We start from the raw sequence: 17,012 nt of genomic DNA, 5'->3' as shown, positions 1-17,012 counted from the left end.
CCTCATATACTTATTGTTAGGATTAAAATAACTACCATAGGGAAAGCACTGAGAAGGGTGTTGGGTGGAGAGGAAGTCCTGTAGAAGCATTAGCTGGTAGTACTTGCAGTGGATGGAATAAAGGCCTGGGTTGGGACATCACATCTTGTGGTTTTCCTTCTGCTCTGCCCTCGACTGTGGTGTCACTTACTCCCCTTTGCTTCCCCAGGCTCCTTCTCTATAAAGTGGGATCTATCATGACCAGCCTACCTTATCAATATAGGAGAGAAAATCTTCATGCCTGAAGGTCAGTGATCACAAATGGCATACTTGACCTTAACATAGTACTTCTTCATTTTGGGGGTCCATGGTATTAATGAACTTGTTTTACTTCTGTGCATCTTGGAGTTGCAGATTCCATCGTGCAGAAGGGCCCTTTGGAGGTCTTCCCTCCCATCCCCCTGCCCAGGTCCGTGAACTGTCCCGGGGAGATGGCACTCCTCTTCCCCTCTGGGGATGGAGCTTCCATCATCTACTCCCTCAACCTTCCTTAACCCTCCTAGCGTCTCATGGGAGAGCTCTTGTAAAATGGACCCCTCCTCCTGCCTCTGGCAGCCCCTCCTGTTTTGCGGTCCCTTGTGCACTTACTACCTGCCTCTTCTCCCTTTTGTTCTGCTTAACCTAGGGGAAGGTGAGGACAGCTGGTCTCCACCTAGTATGGAGACAGGTGTGGGAGATCCGCCGTCCAGGGGCTCGCCCCCACTCCCGCCCCAGGGCTAACTCTTGGGCAGTGGATGACCCTTTGGGGCGGCGGGAAGAAGGTTTTGCTGGCAGGATTGGAAACTAATCAGCCAGACAGTTCATGAGATAATCCGACTGAATTTTTACACTCGAAGCAGGTTGTGGGGCGTTGCCCCGGCTCTGGGGGAGCAGGGAGCGTTTACTGTCTCGCCCCTCAGCCCCACGGACCCGAGTGTGTCCTGGACTCAACCCGGCCGCGGGACCGCGCTCCATTCTCGACGCCCCGCTCCCAGCACCCGGGCGCCCAGGGCGCAGCGGGGAGAGCTGGGCTGTGGCTGCGCGGCGCCGGCGGCCGGGAGGGATGGGGGAGGAGGAGGCGGCAGCCGGCGAGGGGCGGGCGCGCCGGGACGGAGCTGAGCCGCGATGGAATTAGCCCCGCGGCGGCATAAGCCTGCCCAGAAGCGCGCGGCCGCGGGCCGGCGGGGTCTGCGTCCACATCATGGCGACTCCCGGGCCGCGCGGTGAGTTTTCCGGCTGGACCTGGTCCTGGTCTCCTACAGGTGGTAGGAGGGAGGGAGTGAAGGAGGCGGCATCCGAACTCCCACCCTTCGGGATTGGGGACCCCCAAGGGAGCCTGGGCAGGGTGGTGCGGGAAGTTGACCCCGTTTTTCCAGGGTAGGGACTCTGAGGGACGTCTATGTAATTTCCGAGACGTTTTTTGTTTTTTGTTTTGTTTTGTTTTTTTTTTAACTCAAGGAGAGGGAAGGTAGGACAACAGAGGTTTGGGCGGCCGCTTCTCTGTGATTGGTTACCAATCCCCACCTCTGTGATGTTGCCTCTCCTTGTTACAAGTCCTGGGGACGTTTAGCCTACAGCATCTGAAGGTAAGTAAACAATAAGTAAACAACCAGCCGGACTGGGTTTAACTCAGCAACGGTCCGCTGAGGACAGAGCAAATTTGACTTTGGCATCCCTGGAGTGGCCTCTCAGTTTCAGAAGTTTTTTCCAGTGTCTTACCCAAAACCGCATTCAGGAAGGGTTCCAAGATCAGGCATTTACACCCCAGGCTGCAGGGAAACACAGCTATACCTTCCCGAGGGACTTTTCTTAGAAGAAAAGCAAATTGAGGTGGAGTATGGAGAAGAAAGACGTTATTTTATTGCTTTTGGGCAGGACTGACTTTGCCTGGGACAGGGACTTTGTCGGCTGTTGTGTTTCTGGTAATTCTTGAGACAGGCATGAAGAGGGAGGTGCCCGCTCCTTTGGCATGAACAATGAGCTGAGTGCACTGGGAGGTGGTGTCAGTCACAGTCCTGATACTTTGTGAGCAGATGTGGAGAAATACCACCCCGGGACCATGTGGAACCTCGTCTGGGACAGAAGGTCCCACTGAGCAAGGTCGGGTCTCAGCCCAAAGGCAGGTGGCAGGTGGAGGGAGGATCTTAGACAAGGTGAAGGTGCTTCCAGAGGACTGTGGTCCTCTTGGCCCTCCACCTGCCGAGCCTTTGTCCTTGGAACCTGGCATCAGAGCCCCTGCCCAGTCTCTCTGTCACCCTGGCTCAGCTGCTGGGCATCCAGGGCTCATTTGCTCCTCTCAGTGTGTCTTAACGTGCACCCGTCATTTCCGGAGCCAAGCACCTGATTCGATCCTTTCCAGCAACTGCTTCTGCTGTCTGAGTTGCCTCTATGTGGGTACCAGAGCCACTCTGCTGGTTGACTGTAGAGACTGTGTGAGGGGTAAGGGTGGGATCCAAACACACACCTCAAGTTCTAGTCCAGTTTCCAGGTGTGCCATCTCTTCATCTTCCATTGTGGGGCAAGGCTGCAGGGTGAGAGGCATTTGGGCCTACTGGGGAGTGTGTCTATAATTTTCTGTAACAAAGACCTAATTTTCTGGAAAGCTACCCATTCTGTGGGCTGAGAGAAGCCCATCCCACCCTATGTATGACGTTGCTAGAGCACATGCATAGCAGGTATTTGGCTGCTAGGGACGGTGTTATTGTCTCTAGTACACGGTATAATCCATCTGTATTGTTTAAAAATTGTTTTAAAAATGTCAGTAGTTTTTAGGGTACGGGGTTTTGCTTTTGGTTACATGGGTAAGTTCTTTGGTGGTGAATTCTGAGATTTTAGTGCCTCCTCACCCGAGCAGTGTACATTGTACCCAGTATGTAATCTTTTATCCCTTATCCCTCCTCCCACCCTTACCCGCTGAGTCCCCAAAGTCCATGATATCATTCTTATGTCTTTGCATCCTCATAGCATAACTCCCACTTATGAATGAGAACATATGATATTTAGTTACCCATTCCTGAGTTACTTCACTTACAATAATGGCCTCTAGCTCCATCCAATTTGCTGCAAAAGACTTATTTTGTTTCTTTTCATGGCCGAGTAGTATTACACACACACACACACACACACACACACACACACACAAACACACACTCAAACACAGACATCCCACATTTTCTTTATTCACTTTTTAGTTAATGGGCATTTAAGTTGGTTCCCTATCTTTGCAATTGTGAATTGAGCTGCTATAAACATACATGTGCATGTGTCTTTTTTATATAATGACTTCATTTTCTTTAGGTAGATGCCCAGTAGTGGGATTGCTGGATCTAATGGTGTTCTACTTTTAGTTCTTTAAAGACTCTCCATACTGTTTTTCTATAGTGGTTGTACTAGTTTACATTCTCAGCAGCAGTGTTAAAGTGTTCCCTTTTCATCACATCCATGCCGACATCTAGTAAAATTTTTGACTTCTTAGTTATAGCCATTCTTGCAGCAGTAAGGTGGGTTATCTCATTGTGGTTTTAATTTGCATTTCCCTGATGATTAGTGATGCTGAACATTTTTTCATATGTTTGTTGGCTATTTATATATCTTCTTTTGAGAAACGTCTATTCTCCATCACTATTCGTAACTAAGTGGTTAGCGAAGGCCTCTCTTAGGAGATGAATTTGAACAGAGATTGCATTAAATGAAGGAACAAGCCATGCAGATATCTGGAGGATTGTCTAGCAAAGGAAGTAAAGGCAAAAGAACCCATGGCAAGGAGATGCTTGGGCTGTGGAGCTTCCCCTGTGGGGAAGCTAAGGGCTGCAGCAGAGGGATCAAGAGGGAGAGAGGTAAGAGCCAGCCAGGTTGTGTGCGGTCTTGTGGCTCAGGCCACGTGTTCCTGGCATTCAAAGGGAAAGGGAAGACAGTAAGTAACATGGCTGTCATTATGTAATGAAAGGAGACTGGTTTATCTACACTAAAATATCACGAGTTCATGGTGATATTGATGTAAGACATTGCCCAACATAACGAGCTGTATTTTCATTAGTAGGTTTTTAAAATGAGTATTATTTATCACGTGGGCATTTATCATATTATTTTTAATTTTAAAAGAGGAACGTTTTTGCCTTATTCTTTTCTGGTCCATTCTACCCCATTACACTTTAAAAAATGCTATTTGAAAACCATGAAATTTATATCATAACTAATTAATAGGTTAAACCTGTTATCCTAAAAGTAGTGACTTAGTCATAGGGAACAGTCAATGGCTAGTAGTCTATTTGGAGCAGTGACACTGAGTCTCTTTTTCCTTCTCTGTGTAAGAAAGGGATACGCGGCACTCCATCAGGAAGTTCTTAGGAAGAATTCTTAATCGCATTTCCATTTGTTATCCTTTCCCTTCAGCCTGCAGAACATCCTGTAGCATTGTTAGAGGTGCAGTTCTGCTGGTGACATTCTCTCAACTTGTGTTTTTATGAAAAATGTCTTTATTTCATCCTTATTTTTGAAGGATACTTCATTGGATATAGATGAATGGTTTGATAGCTTTTTTTCCACCCCCAGCCCCAGCCCTCTGGGTATCACTCTTTTGGTCTCCATTGTTTTGACGAGAAGCTAGCCTAAATTCATATTTAAATATTCTTCATTATCTTATTAATGTATAATCTCTTTTGAATTTGGTAGTGTTCAAGATTTGATATTCAGTTTTGGTTTTCAGTATTTTGACTCTGATGTATCTAGGTGTGGTTTTCTTTTTTTTTTTAACTTGAGTTTGCTGGACTTCTTAAATCTGTTATTACAAGTTATTGTATTTTATCAAATTTTGAGACAATTTCAGCCACTATTTATTCAACTATTTTTATTTTATTTTTTTTCTTCTTCAACTATTTTTGATCTGCTTTTCTTTTCTTCTTTTTGTGGAACTCCAGTCACATGAACGTTAGCTTGTTTGGTATCGCCCTACTAGTTTCTGAGGTGCTGTTAAATTTTTCCAATCTTTATCCTCTGCTCTCTAGATTTGATTACTTTTGTTGGATCCATCTTTAACTTCACTGATCCTTTCTCTGCCGTCTCCAGTTTGCTGTTAATCCCACCCAATGGATTTTTCTTTTCCATAATTGTAATTTTTAATTCTAGGAATTCCATTGAAAAACAGCTTTATTGAGATACAATTCACATACCATAAAATGTACCCTTTAAAGGTGTCCAGTTCAGTGGCTGTTGGTATATTCACAGAGTTGTTCAACCATCACCGCAATCTAGTTTAAAGCATTTGCATCATCCTAAAGAGAAACTTCACACTCAATGGCAGTTGCTCATTTTTCCTCCCTCCCCCTAGCCCTTGGCAACCGCGAATCCACTTTCTGTCTCCATGGATATGCCTATTCTACACATTTTATGTAAATGGAACCATACAATGTGTGGCATTTTGTGTCTGTGTTCTTTCACTTAGCATAATGCTTTCAAGGTTAATGTGTATTGTTACACATATCGGTACTTCATTCTTTTTTATAGCTGAAATCTATTTCCTTGGGTGGATAGGCTACATTTTGTTTATCCATTTGCCAGTTCATGGGCATTTGTGTGTCCTAGTTTTTGTTACTATAAATGATACTGCTATGAACTTTCAAGTACAAGTCTTTGTGTGTACATGTTTTTTAGTTCTCTTGGTCATATACCTAGGAGAAGAATTGCTGGGTCATATGTTTAACTTTGATTGTCAGACTATTTTCCAAAGTGGCTGTACCATTTTACATTCCCACCAGCAATTTATGAGGGTTCTGATTTCTCCACAAACTCACCAGCAGTTGTTATTATTCATCTTTTTATTATAGCCATCCTCATGGACGTGAAGTAGTGTGTTACTGTGGTTTTGCCTGAACCTAGGAGCAAGACAAGCCTGTCACTGGAGAAGGAAAAGCTCCTCTGCCTGCAAATCCCCAAGCATGCTTAGGCTTCCTGGTCTTAGAAGTGTGTGCCTCAATGATGGGGAGGACCCTCCACTTGGACGGCTTCTGTGTGGCTCTTCGACTTCTAAAACATACGTTAGAGAACTGATGATAATACCAGTTTAAGAATCAGAGGGTGCAGGAATGGGTTCTATACAATCTATCTAAATTCAAATGCTAAATTTTGCTAAATGTAGTTAACTTGTGCCTAAATGATTTGATCCAGTTTATAGGTGTACTGGAGGCATGCCCACCTTCCATATCAAACGGGAAGGCAAGCATCTTTCTCTAAATTGACAACATCGATATGTGGCATTCCAGGAGGAGCCTCAAGAAGCAACAGAATCTGTTGGCCAACTACTGTCACACAAGCTCACCATCCATCCATCTATCCATCCATCCATCCATCCATCCATCCATTGATTTAAAAACCATTTAATAAGCATTTACCATATCCCTGCCTTGTCCTGGGTGCTGAACTGGATCTGAGAGCCTACTTGGGGAGATAAATGTGGAAATGTATAACTTTAACACAATATAAGGTGTGAACATGCTACACCAAGCTTTTCATTTTTGGTAGGCCTCTGTGACAGAGACTACTAGCTGCTTACCAAAATCCATGTTCTCCTCTTCTTCCTGAACACACAGCTCGACCTTATTTCCTAGCCTCCCTTACAGTTAGTTATGACACTGAATTTTAGCCAAAGGAATCTGAACAGTGACATGTGCTACTTCTGGCCCTGGCCCCTGGAAGCCTTCCATGCCTGTTCTTCCATGCGCTTTCTACCTTTCGGAAAACAGGAATGGCATTACTGTGACTCATATAGTATCCTTCACCATCGGTGTGGATAATAATAAATTACTTATAAGAGCGTTAACCCAGTCCACTGAGTGACTGTTCATGTCAAATCTCCATATTTCTAAGCCTTGCTCAACAGAGCCTTTCCCAAATTTCCACCAACCTAACAGATTTAACCCACCTCACACTTCTGCATACCACAGGTGGGGAGAGATACTCAAAGGCAGGGATGGAGGATGGATCTAACTCATCTTTGATCCTTACTGCAGCCTGACACACGGTAGGTGCTCAATGAGTGGGTGTTTCATTGAGCAGGTGCTCAAATTGAAATGTTGAAAAGAAGAGCAGGGAGAAACTTCTAGGCAAAGTCATCTCTTCTGTGCTTTGTGGTTTAGAATTCTGGAGCTTTTGATTATGTTGAATCAAGTGTTCTTGAGGAAACACAAAGTTTTTTTTTTTTTTTTTTTTTTGTTGGAGTCTTGCTCTGTCACTAGGCTGGAGTGCAGTGGTGCCATCTCAGCTCACTGCAACCTCTGCCTCCCGGGTTCAAACGATTCTCCTGTCTCAGCCTCCCGAGTAGCTGGGACTACAGGCGCGCACCACTACGCCCAGCTAATTTTTGTATTTTTAGTAGAGACGGGGTTTTACTCTCTTGGCCAGGATGGTCTTGATCTCTTGACCTCATCATCCGCCTGCCTCGGCCTCTCAAAGTGCTAGGATTACAGGCCTGAGCCACCTTGCCTGGCCACAAAATTATTTTTAAAAAAAAATATTGGCCTTGGTTACAGGTGCTCCTGTGGCCTACCTCAGGACAAGAAAAAAGGTTGGGATCTTAGCTTATCTTGTTTTTTTCTTTTTGAGACAGAGTTTTGCTCTTGTCGCCCAGGCTGAAGTGCAATGGTGCAATCTTGGCTCACTGCAACCTCTGCCTCCCGGGTTCAAGCAATTCTCCTGCCTCAGCCTCCTGAGTAGCTGGGATTACAGGTGCCTGCCACCACACCCAGCTAATTTTTGTATTTTTTTTCAGTAGAGACGGAGTTTCACCATGTTGGCCAGGCTGGTCTTGAACTCCTGACCTCAGGTAATCCATTTGCTTCGATCTCCCAAAGTGCTGGGATTATAGGCGTGAGCCACCATGCCTGGCCCTTAGCTTATCTTAATAAGTAAATAAAATAGACTGGGTGCAGTGGCTCATGCCTATAATCACAGCACTTTGGGAGGCTGAGGCCATAATGGAATAACTGGTCCTGGGATAGACATTCTGTCATAAATTATAATACTGGAAAAAAATATGTAGATCAGTTATTTTCAGGTACTGAACAAGCACCAGCATAGAAGTACAATCCCTGAAAGAAGAGAAATTTAGCCCTCTGAGTGCAGGCTATTTACCAGGGGTCAGGGATCTGGAGTCCACATGGAGGAAAGGATCCCACTGAACTGAGAAGACAGAGATAAAAATTTGGAGCAGCAAAATGCCTGGAAATGCTTACTAAATGCCTGGAAATTATGGGGAAGAACACAGAGAGGAGGAATGTGTGTGAAAGGAGGTGCCCAGAGGGCTCTTTGGGGACCCTTCGTGAGTCCTTGGCTAAGAGTGAGGCTTCACATGCACAGGGTGAGGCATATGAAGTTTGCCAGAGAGAAGCTGCTGCAGCATTGAGATCAGAACAGAAATGGTAGAAGTCGAACGGTACTGGGAGATGTTGAAAGTCCATCCCAGCCAGAGTGGCAAGACCTCATGAGCATGTCCTAACATTCCAGACATGTAGCTGAGACCCCCAGGGGCTTTGTTTTAGGAGTAAGAAGCACACGGTAGAGAAAAATTTACTCTGGATGGTCCCTGAAGAACACTAAGGCCAAGCCTAGAAAGATCAATAGGGAAGACAAGAGTTTAGAGGCTGAACCCTTCCAGATTAGAGCCTCTTGAGAAACACCTTGGATTTTCCACAGCATACCCTGGCAACAACAGCAAACTCCTACATAAGCTCAAAGTGATCAGCTCATAGTTGAACTTCCTGCTAGAAAGTTAAAAAAAAAAATTCCAACCCCCTCGATAGGAAGATAATGTTTTATCATTCACAATGTCCAGTATACCATAAAACTTACTAGACATGCAAATAAATAGAAATAAGTGATCCATGAAAAAGAGACAAAGGAAACAAAATGAAAAGGCAGCCAATGAAGTGGAAGGAAATATTTGGCAACTGTGTATCAGATAAGAAGTTAATATTCACAATATATAAGGAACTCACACAATCCAATAGCAAAAATACAAATAACCTAATTAAAAAATAGGCAAATGACCTGGATAGACATTTCTCCAAAGAAGACATAAAAGTGGCCAACAGGTATATGAAAAAGTCCTCGACGTCACCAGTCATTAGGGAAATGCAAATCAAAACTACAGTGAGATATCATCGCATACCTGTTAGGATAGCTAATATAAAAAAGTCAGGAGATAACTCTTTTGGAAGGAATGTGGAGAAAAAGGAGCCCTTATACACTGTTGGTGGAATGCAGTTTCATGCAGTCATTGTGGAAAACAGTTTGAAGTTGCTAAAGAAATAAAAAAATGGAACCACCATATGACCCAGAAATTCCTATTCTGGGTATATACTGAAAGAAGTAAAATCACTACCTGGTAAAGGTATCTGCACTGCCATGTTCATTGAAACATTATTCACAGTGGTCAAGATATGGAAACAACCTAAGTGCCTGTCACTTTATGGTATAGAATTTTGGAGCTTTGATGATGTTGCATCCAAGTAAATATTCTATAAAAATAAAATTCTATAAAAATTCTGGAGCTTTGATTATGCTGAATTCAACTAGAGAGTCATGTACAAAGAATGAAGTTGGACCCTTTCCTCACTCATACATAAAAATTAACTCAAAGTGAATCGTAGATGTAAATGTAGTAGTTAAATTGATAAAACTAGAAGACAACATAGAAGTAAATCTTCGCAACCTTGGTTTAGGTGATGTTTTCTTAATGTTACACCAAAACCATAAGCATTCTGTCTCAGTTTGCTCACTCTAACAAAATGCCAGAGACTGGCTTGTTTATAAAGCACAGAAATTTATTTCTTACAGTTCTCCAGGCTGGGAAGTCCAGGATCAAGGTGTCAGCATTCAGTATCTGGTGACAGCTGCTCTCTGCTTCCAAGATGGCACTTTGTTTTTGTGTCCTTACTTGGGGGGAGAAGGGCAAAAAGAGGGTCTAGCCTGTTCCTTTGAGCCCTTTTATAAGGGTACTAACCCATTTGTAAAGGCAGAGCCCTTATGACTTAATCCTTCCCAGAGGGACCCACTTCTTAATTCTGCTGCATTGAGGGTTAAGTTTCAATATGAATTTTGGAAGAGACACCGATAGTCAAACCGTGACACATCAGATAAAAAATAGACAAAATGGACTTCATAAAAATTAAAAATGCTCCAAAAGAGCATTTTTGGTTGCAGGTGCTTCTCTTGACTCCATCAAGAAAATTGAACAGACAACCTACAGAATGGGAGAAAATATTTGTGAGTCATATATCAGACAAAGGACTTATATCTGGAATATAGAAATAACTCTTATAACTCAACAATAAAAAGATGAACCTGATTTTAAAATGAGCAAAAGCTCTGAATAGACATTTCTCCAAAGAAGATATGCAAATTGCTAGTAAGCACGTAAAAAGATGTTCAACATTATTGGTCATTAGGGAAATGTAAATCCACCCAAATAGTGGTGCTTCTTTCTTCTAATATTTCAAGATCTGTGACTAGATCTGTGCTCCCTGTTTTGACTCTGTTAGTGATTCTCTAGACTAATGGTCTCAACCCTGGTTGTACCATAGAATCACCCCAGATAAATTAAGTCCAAATCTGTGGAGGTGAAACCCAGACATCAATATTTTAACCTTCTTGGGTGATTCTAATGAATATCCAAGGTTGAGAACCCCTCTGTGTTCCCATTTGTCTTTTTCCAGTTGCGGAATCCTAATATTTTAAGTCTGGCTTCCCATGACAGGCTCCTTCTCCACACAGAATAGGTCTTGTATGCTTCTGTGCCCCTTCTCCAGAACTTTTTTTCTCCCAGTTTTGTCCTTTGGGATATGGTGGCCATAATTTCACAGATGCTCAAATGAGGACATATCCTGGTTTTGAATAAGAGCGATCTGCATTTGGCTAGACCACAGTAGCCTGGTGGAGGAGAAGTTATGAGAAAATAAAAAATGTATTTCTCAAAATTTTCCCCCACTAGTTATTATGCTATCTCCAGTCACCCTTAAAGTCTGACCCAGTAATGATGGGAGTCCCTAGGTGTGTCTCCAGTGCCTTCATGAACAATCCTCTCGACTTTCACATGGTGTTACCATTGTGGTGGATGTTTGCTATTGAACCTCCTTTTCTCACACTCTGCCCTCAAAGATTATTATGTACCAGGTCATATGCTCAGGGCTTAGGATACAGAGGTGAATAAGATAGGTACTATGCCTATCCTCAAGCAGTGTGCAACTAGCCCATTAAGCTCACTGTCTATACAATATGAATTCACTCATACCAGTTAAAAAAGCTGTAACAGAGGCATTTTCTGAGCACTTTCCTACAGACTATAAATAAATATATTTGGGATATTTTATAAAATTCTCAGGATTGTTCCTATCCCTCATGTCTGCTGCATCCTTCCATAACCCCCAGCATCTCACCCAGTTCCAAAGTCCTCAGTAGCCTGAGAGTGGGAGCTATGATTGGAAGAGCTGTTTTAGGCTTTAACCTCAGTCCCAGTCCATTTTGGGTAGGAGAAACCTATTCCTACTTTGGAGAGATGAGAATAAGAATGATATCTTTAATCTTGGTTACACCCAGGAGGAAGAGATGGGAGATGTTTATGGGTGGTGGAGAATGATGAGGGACACGGAGGGAGCCCATTGAATATACCCAGGATGTCAATGGAAGAGCAAACAGAGCAAATCTGTTGCAAAACAGGTTATAATTAATGAGCCAACAGACCAGTTTTGACCAATTTTATGTTGTACACTGGCTACTTCCTCATGACATGTAAGGAGGGGCATTTATACCTTAATCTCATCAGCCATACTCCAAACCAAAGTGTAGGATGGGCTGCCAATGAGTAGGTTTCATTTAGGCAACTCATCCAAGTCCCAATTTGTAAATTTTGTCATTGAGAGAAGCACTTCCTGAAATGAATTTCTCATTCGATTACATTCTCAATAAGATAATTCTCTCTTATTCTTATTCTCTTGGTCTTAACTGTTAGGATCTTGGGTCTGATCATTGACTATAAATGCTATTTGTAAAAAGACCTTTTTAAAGGGTGAGGGATGTTAAGAATGTCCAGCCAGGAAGGGATTTACCAAGTAATGTTGGCCATTTATCTTCCTTTTGCACAGCATTGCTTAGTGGAGAAAAGTGTGGACTGAGTGTGCTGGTGATCTTGGACAACTTACCTGGCCTCTCTGTGCTTCAGTTTCCTCATCAGTAAAATGGTGACAACAATGGTACCTACCTCAGGGTTATCGTGAAGATTACATAAATTGATACATGTAAAGTGTTTAAAACAGTGTCTGACACATGTAAAGTGTTAGCGATTAGTGTTGTAGTTGTTACTAGTAGGGCAGTTCTATGTTCAGTTCAGCACAGGGGAATCCATCCTGTTTCAAAATTCACTCACAAGAAAGGATTCCTCAGTTCCCTACATCGTTACCTCCAAAAGCTTTTAGAGCTCTTATTGCATCCAGAGTCCTGTGCTAGGAATACAGAGATAAAAAAGGCAAATCTGAACTTCTAGAGGACTTCCTTCAGTGGTTAGGGAAGGCGTGGTATAGGAGTAGGACTTTACCTGGGTATGACTTAGCTTAGTGGAGAGGACATGCCAAACAGAAGTAACAGCCTAGGCAGAGGCACAGAGTGAGCATCAGTCTGGGGACAGGTTTGACTAAAGAGGAATGTTCTTGTCTGATGGAGGGATTTGGCAGCAGAGACATGTAACAGTCAGCTGTGTAAGTCTTTGGATGCCAAGTTGTTTGTAAGCCTCAAGACAGTGGAAGTTTTGAGTAGCAGTGTGACCAGTGAAATAAAATTTTGTGAATTTTATAAAGGGTACGTGTATCAGAAAAACAGTTAGGAATCTGTCCATCCATTTATTCACCTACCCACCTGTCCATCCACCCACCCACCCATCCATTTATCCATCCTTCTCCTGGCACCTCATTTATCCTCACTACAGCCAGGGCCATCTTTCTAATGTAATCTAATTATGTTGTTCTCTTGCTTAAAATCTTTTAACATTATAATAAATTGTGAACCTCGTTAACAGAGTGGAATTTGGGGTGGTTGTATGGTTGGGGAGAGAAGTTTAGAGACAGAAGGGCAAATAAAAAAGCAGATCACCTTCTGGGAGCTGCAGGCAGTTCATTCTCTGGAGTTTCTGTGCATGTGTGGCTGTGTGTGCACAAGAGGAGAGTCACTAGCAGGAGATGACAGTGGGAAGGTTGACAAGAAAGATGGTAAAGGGCCTTGTAGGCCATGTTAAGAAGTGTGCACTATACACCAGATAGGGCCCTTTCTGTGCCCCTCAAATCTCACCACGTAGCTGGCCCCTTGTGGGGACTCCGCAGGCAGAAAATGAGGGTGAGGAGGCTAGCAGTCATTGCTCTCAGGAGGGCCATAATCTCAACCAGCCAGGCCCGAGGCCCATTGCAATGGATCATACAAATCACTGCCTTTCTTCCTGGAGTCTCCTTTCCTCCTTTGCCCATTGGTAGATGCCTAGTTAATTCTTCTAGTTGCATGCAAAAGCCGTGTCCTCTGGGAGCCTCCCTGACAGCTCTAGGGAGAGCTGAGGGCTTCTGCTTCCATGGATCCTTCTTCATACTTTCATGTTGACTCTCCTCCCATTCTGGAGATTATCTCCTTGTTAGTCTTCCTTCCTCACTAGTCTACTTTCCTTCCTCACTGGTCTACTTTCCTTCCTCTCTAGTCTACCTTCCTTCCTTACTCGTCTACCTTCTTTCCTTATTAGTCACTTTCTTACCAGTCTTCCTTCCTTACTAGTCTATCTTCTTTCCTCACTCGTCTACCTTCTTTCCTTATTAGTCACTTTCTTACCAGTCTTCCTTCCTTACTAGTCTACCTTCTTTCCTCACTCGTCTACCTTCTTTCCTTATTAGTCACTTTCTTACCAGTCTTCCTTCCTTACTAGTCTACCTTCTTTCCTCACTCGTCTACCTTCTTTCCTTATTAGTCACTTTCTTACCAGTCTTCCTTCCTTACTAGTCTATCTTCTTTCCTCACTCGTCTGCCTTCTTTCCTTTTTAGTCACTTTGTTACCAGTCTTCCTTCCTTACTAGTCTATCTTCTTTCCTCACTCGTCTGCCTTCTTTCCTTATTAGTCACTTTCTTACCAGTCTTCCTTCCTTACTAGTCTACCTTCTTTCCTCACTCGTCTACCTTCTTTCCTTATTAGTCACTTTCTTACCAGTCTTCCTTCCTTTTCTGTCTTCTTTCCTTACTCGTCTGCCTTCTTTCCTTATTAGTCACTTTCTTACCAGTCTTCCTTCCTTACTAGTCTATCTTCTTTCCTCACTCGTCTACCTTCTTTCCTTATTAGTCACTTTCTTACCAGTCTTCCTTCCTTTTCTGTCTTCTTTCCTCACTCGTCTGCCTTCTTTCCTTATTAGTCACTTTCTTACCAGTCTTCCTTCCTTACTAGTCTATCTTCTTTCCTCACTCGTCTACCTTCTTTCCTTATTAGTCACTTTCTTACCAGTCTTCCTTCCTTACTAGTCTATCTTCTTTCCTCACTCGTCTGCCTTCTTTCCTTATTAGTCACTTTCTTACCAGTCTTCCTTCCTTACTAGTCTATCTTCTTTCCTCACTCGTCTGCCTTCTTTCCTTATTAGTCACTTTCTTACCAGTCTTCCTTCCTTACTAGTCTGTCTTCTTTCCTCACTCGTCTACCTTCTTTCCTTATTAGTCACTTTCTTACCAGTCTTCCTTCCTTACTAGTCTATCTTCTTTCCTCACTCGTCTACCTTCTTTCCTTATTAGTCACTTTCTTACCAGTCTTCCTTCCTTACTAGTCTATCTTCTTTCCTCACTCGTCTGCCTTCTTTCCTTATTAGTCACTTTCTTACCAGTCTTCCTTCCTTACTAGTCTGTCTTCTTTCCTCACTCGTCTGCCTTCTTTCCTTATAGGCCTTCCTTCCTTGTGATTACCCAGGGCTTGATGGAAGGAGCCACATTCTGTTTAGCTTTAATTCCCAATGTTTTATACAATACGTGGGAAGTTAAATGGGTCTGCAATGAATGAACAGAGATGTGAAATACTGCACGTATATCATCCCCACCCCAACCTCCCAAAGAATGGTCATTTGCTGTGCTTGGAGCCTGGCATGATGGTGTGGGTAATGGGGGTATAGGGGGAAGGCCAGCAGTGGATGAGTGTTGGGAGATGAAGTGGTCCAGACGGGTAGGTGCGGACTCGATCATGAAAGACCCTGTATGTCATATATGACAATTTGGTCTTCATCCTAAGAAGAGTAGGCAACCACAGAGTGGGACTAACTTGGTGAGATTGTTTCAAAATGGTAATAGTAGCTGTGGTGTGAGCCCAGGATGAGAGAGAAGCAAGATAAGCAGTAGGAAGGCCAGCTTACTTCTATCAGAGGGGAACAAGGCAAGGATGCAAACTGTGGTGGTGGCATCATCAGGAAAGGGGGGCATGTGCATTGGAGAGAGAGGGCTAATTCTGAGCCAAGGCTATAAGACAAGCAGAGCCCAGGAGGCGGATATGCAAATGGATTTTATGTGTGTGTGAGTATGGAGGGAACTGGAGAGCAGTCCTGTTACTGTGGCTGCATATAGAGACTGAGGGAAGTGCTGTTCTGCAGGACCTCTGGGGCAAGGGGTGGGGTAATCAGGAGGGCCATTGGGCCCAAATTTTAAGCCTGGAGCTTCAAATTTTGGCTGTTGTCCTGGGTCCAATTCATGCAAGAAGCAGGATGAGACCTGGGTGTAAATGTTGATTCTAACTGAAATGAAGTGCCCAGGGCACTTGAGGAGGGGTCCAGGGGGAGGGTCTTCAATCTGAAAGCACCCAGGTCTCTCTGAGGCTTCTACCAGGGCATGCCTTCAGCAGGACCATGGTTGCCTACTCTTCTTAGGATGAAGACCAAATTGTCATATATGACATACAGGGTCTTTCCTGATCGAGTCCGCACCTACCCGTCTGGACCACTTCATCTCCCAACACTCATCCACTGCTGGCCTTCCCCCTATACCCCCATTACCCACACCATCATGCCAGGCTCCAAGCACAGCAAATGACCATTCTTTGGGAGGTTGGGGTGGGGATGATATACGTGCAGTATTTCACATCTCTGTTCGTTCATTGCAGACCCATTTAACTTCCCAGGTATTGTATAAAACATTGGGAATTAAAGCTAAACAGAATGTGGCTCCTTCCATCAAACCCTGGGTAATCACAAGGAAGGAAGGCCTATAAGGAAAGAAGGCAGACGAGTGAGGAAAGAAGACAGACTAGTAAGGAAGGAAGACTGGTAAGAAAGTGACTAATAAGGAAAGAAGGTAGACGAGTGAGGAAAGAAGGTAGACTAGTAAGGAAGGAAGACTGGTAAGAAAGTGACTAATAAGGAAAGAAGGTAGACGAGTGAGGAAAGAAGGTAGACTAGTAAGGAAGGAAGACTGGTAAGAAAGTGACTAATAAGGAAAGAAGGCAGACGAGAGAGGAAAGAAGGTAGACTAGTAAGGAAGGAAGACTGGTAAGAAAGTGACTAATAAGGAAAGAAGGCAGACGAGTGAGGAAAGAAGGTAGACTAGTAAGGAAGGAAGACTGGTAAGAAAGTGACTAATAAGGAAAGAAGGTAGACGAGTAAGGAAGGAAGGTAGACTCGTAAGGAAGGAAGACTGGTAAGAAAGTGACTAATAAGGAAAGAAGGCAGACGAGTAAGGAAAGAAGATAGACTAGTAAGGAAGGAAGACTGGTAAGAAAGTGACTAATAAAGAAGGTAGACTAGTAAGGAAGGAAGGTAGACTAGTAAGGAAGGAAGACTGGTAAGAAAGTGACTAATAAGGAAAGAAGGCAGACGAGTGAGGAAAGAAGGTAGACTAGTAAGGAAGGAAGACTGGTAAGAAAGTGACTAATAAGGAAAGAAGGTAGACGAGTAAGGAAAGAAGATAGACTAGTAAGGAAGGAAGACTGGTAAGAGAGTGACTAATAAGGAAAGAAGGTA

At 43.5% G+C, this 17,012-nt stretch overlaps 1 protein-coding gene across 3 annotated transcripts in view, besides 1 other annotated feature; it reads left to right on the top strand.

The window, feature by feature from the left end:
• Positions 1–204: 204 nt before the first annotated feature.
• ANO2 (anoctamin 2) overlaps positions 205–17,012 on the top strand; it is a 383,578-nt gene continuing 366,770 nt past the window's right edge. For 2 of the 3 annotated variants that reach the window (NM_001364791.2, NM_001278596.3), the window contains exon 1: positions 1,178–1,241. In NM_001364791.2, coding sequence (NP_001351720.1) covers positions 1,220–1,241 — 22 coding nt within the window. In that variant the 5' untranslated portion in view covers positions 1,178–1,219. Of the gene's footprint in view, positions 287–1,177; positions 1,242–17,012 lie in introns of those variants that run through there. The other variant, NM_001278597.3, reaches the window with a different exon arrangement.
• Positions 14,155–15,354: an enhancer, noted in NCBI's record as "P300/CBP strongly-dependent group 1 enhancer chr12:6040249-6041448 (GRCh37/hg19 assembly coordinates)". NCBI's record gives its function as "activates an origin of replication core promoter dependent on BRD2, BRD4, P300/CBP, MED14 and CDK7 cofactors, with strong dependence on P300/CBP, by STARR-seq in HCT116 cells {active_cell/tissue: HCT116}" and the evidence as "EXISTENCE:reporter gene assay evidence [ECO:0000049][PMID:35650434]".

The sequence above is a fragment of the Homo sapiens genome, chromosome 12, assembly GCF_000001405.40.
Source record: "Homo sapiens chromosome 12, GRCh38.p14 Primary Assembly".
In the NCBI taxonomy this organism is placed as follows: Eukaryota; Metazoa; Chordata; class Mammalia; order Primates; family Hominidae; genus Homo; species Homo sapiens.
This window is presented reverse-complemented; position numbering and strand designations above follow the sequence as displayed.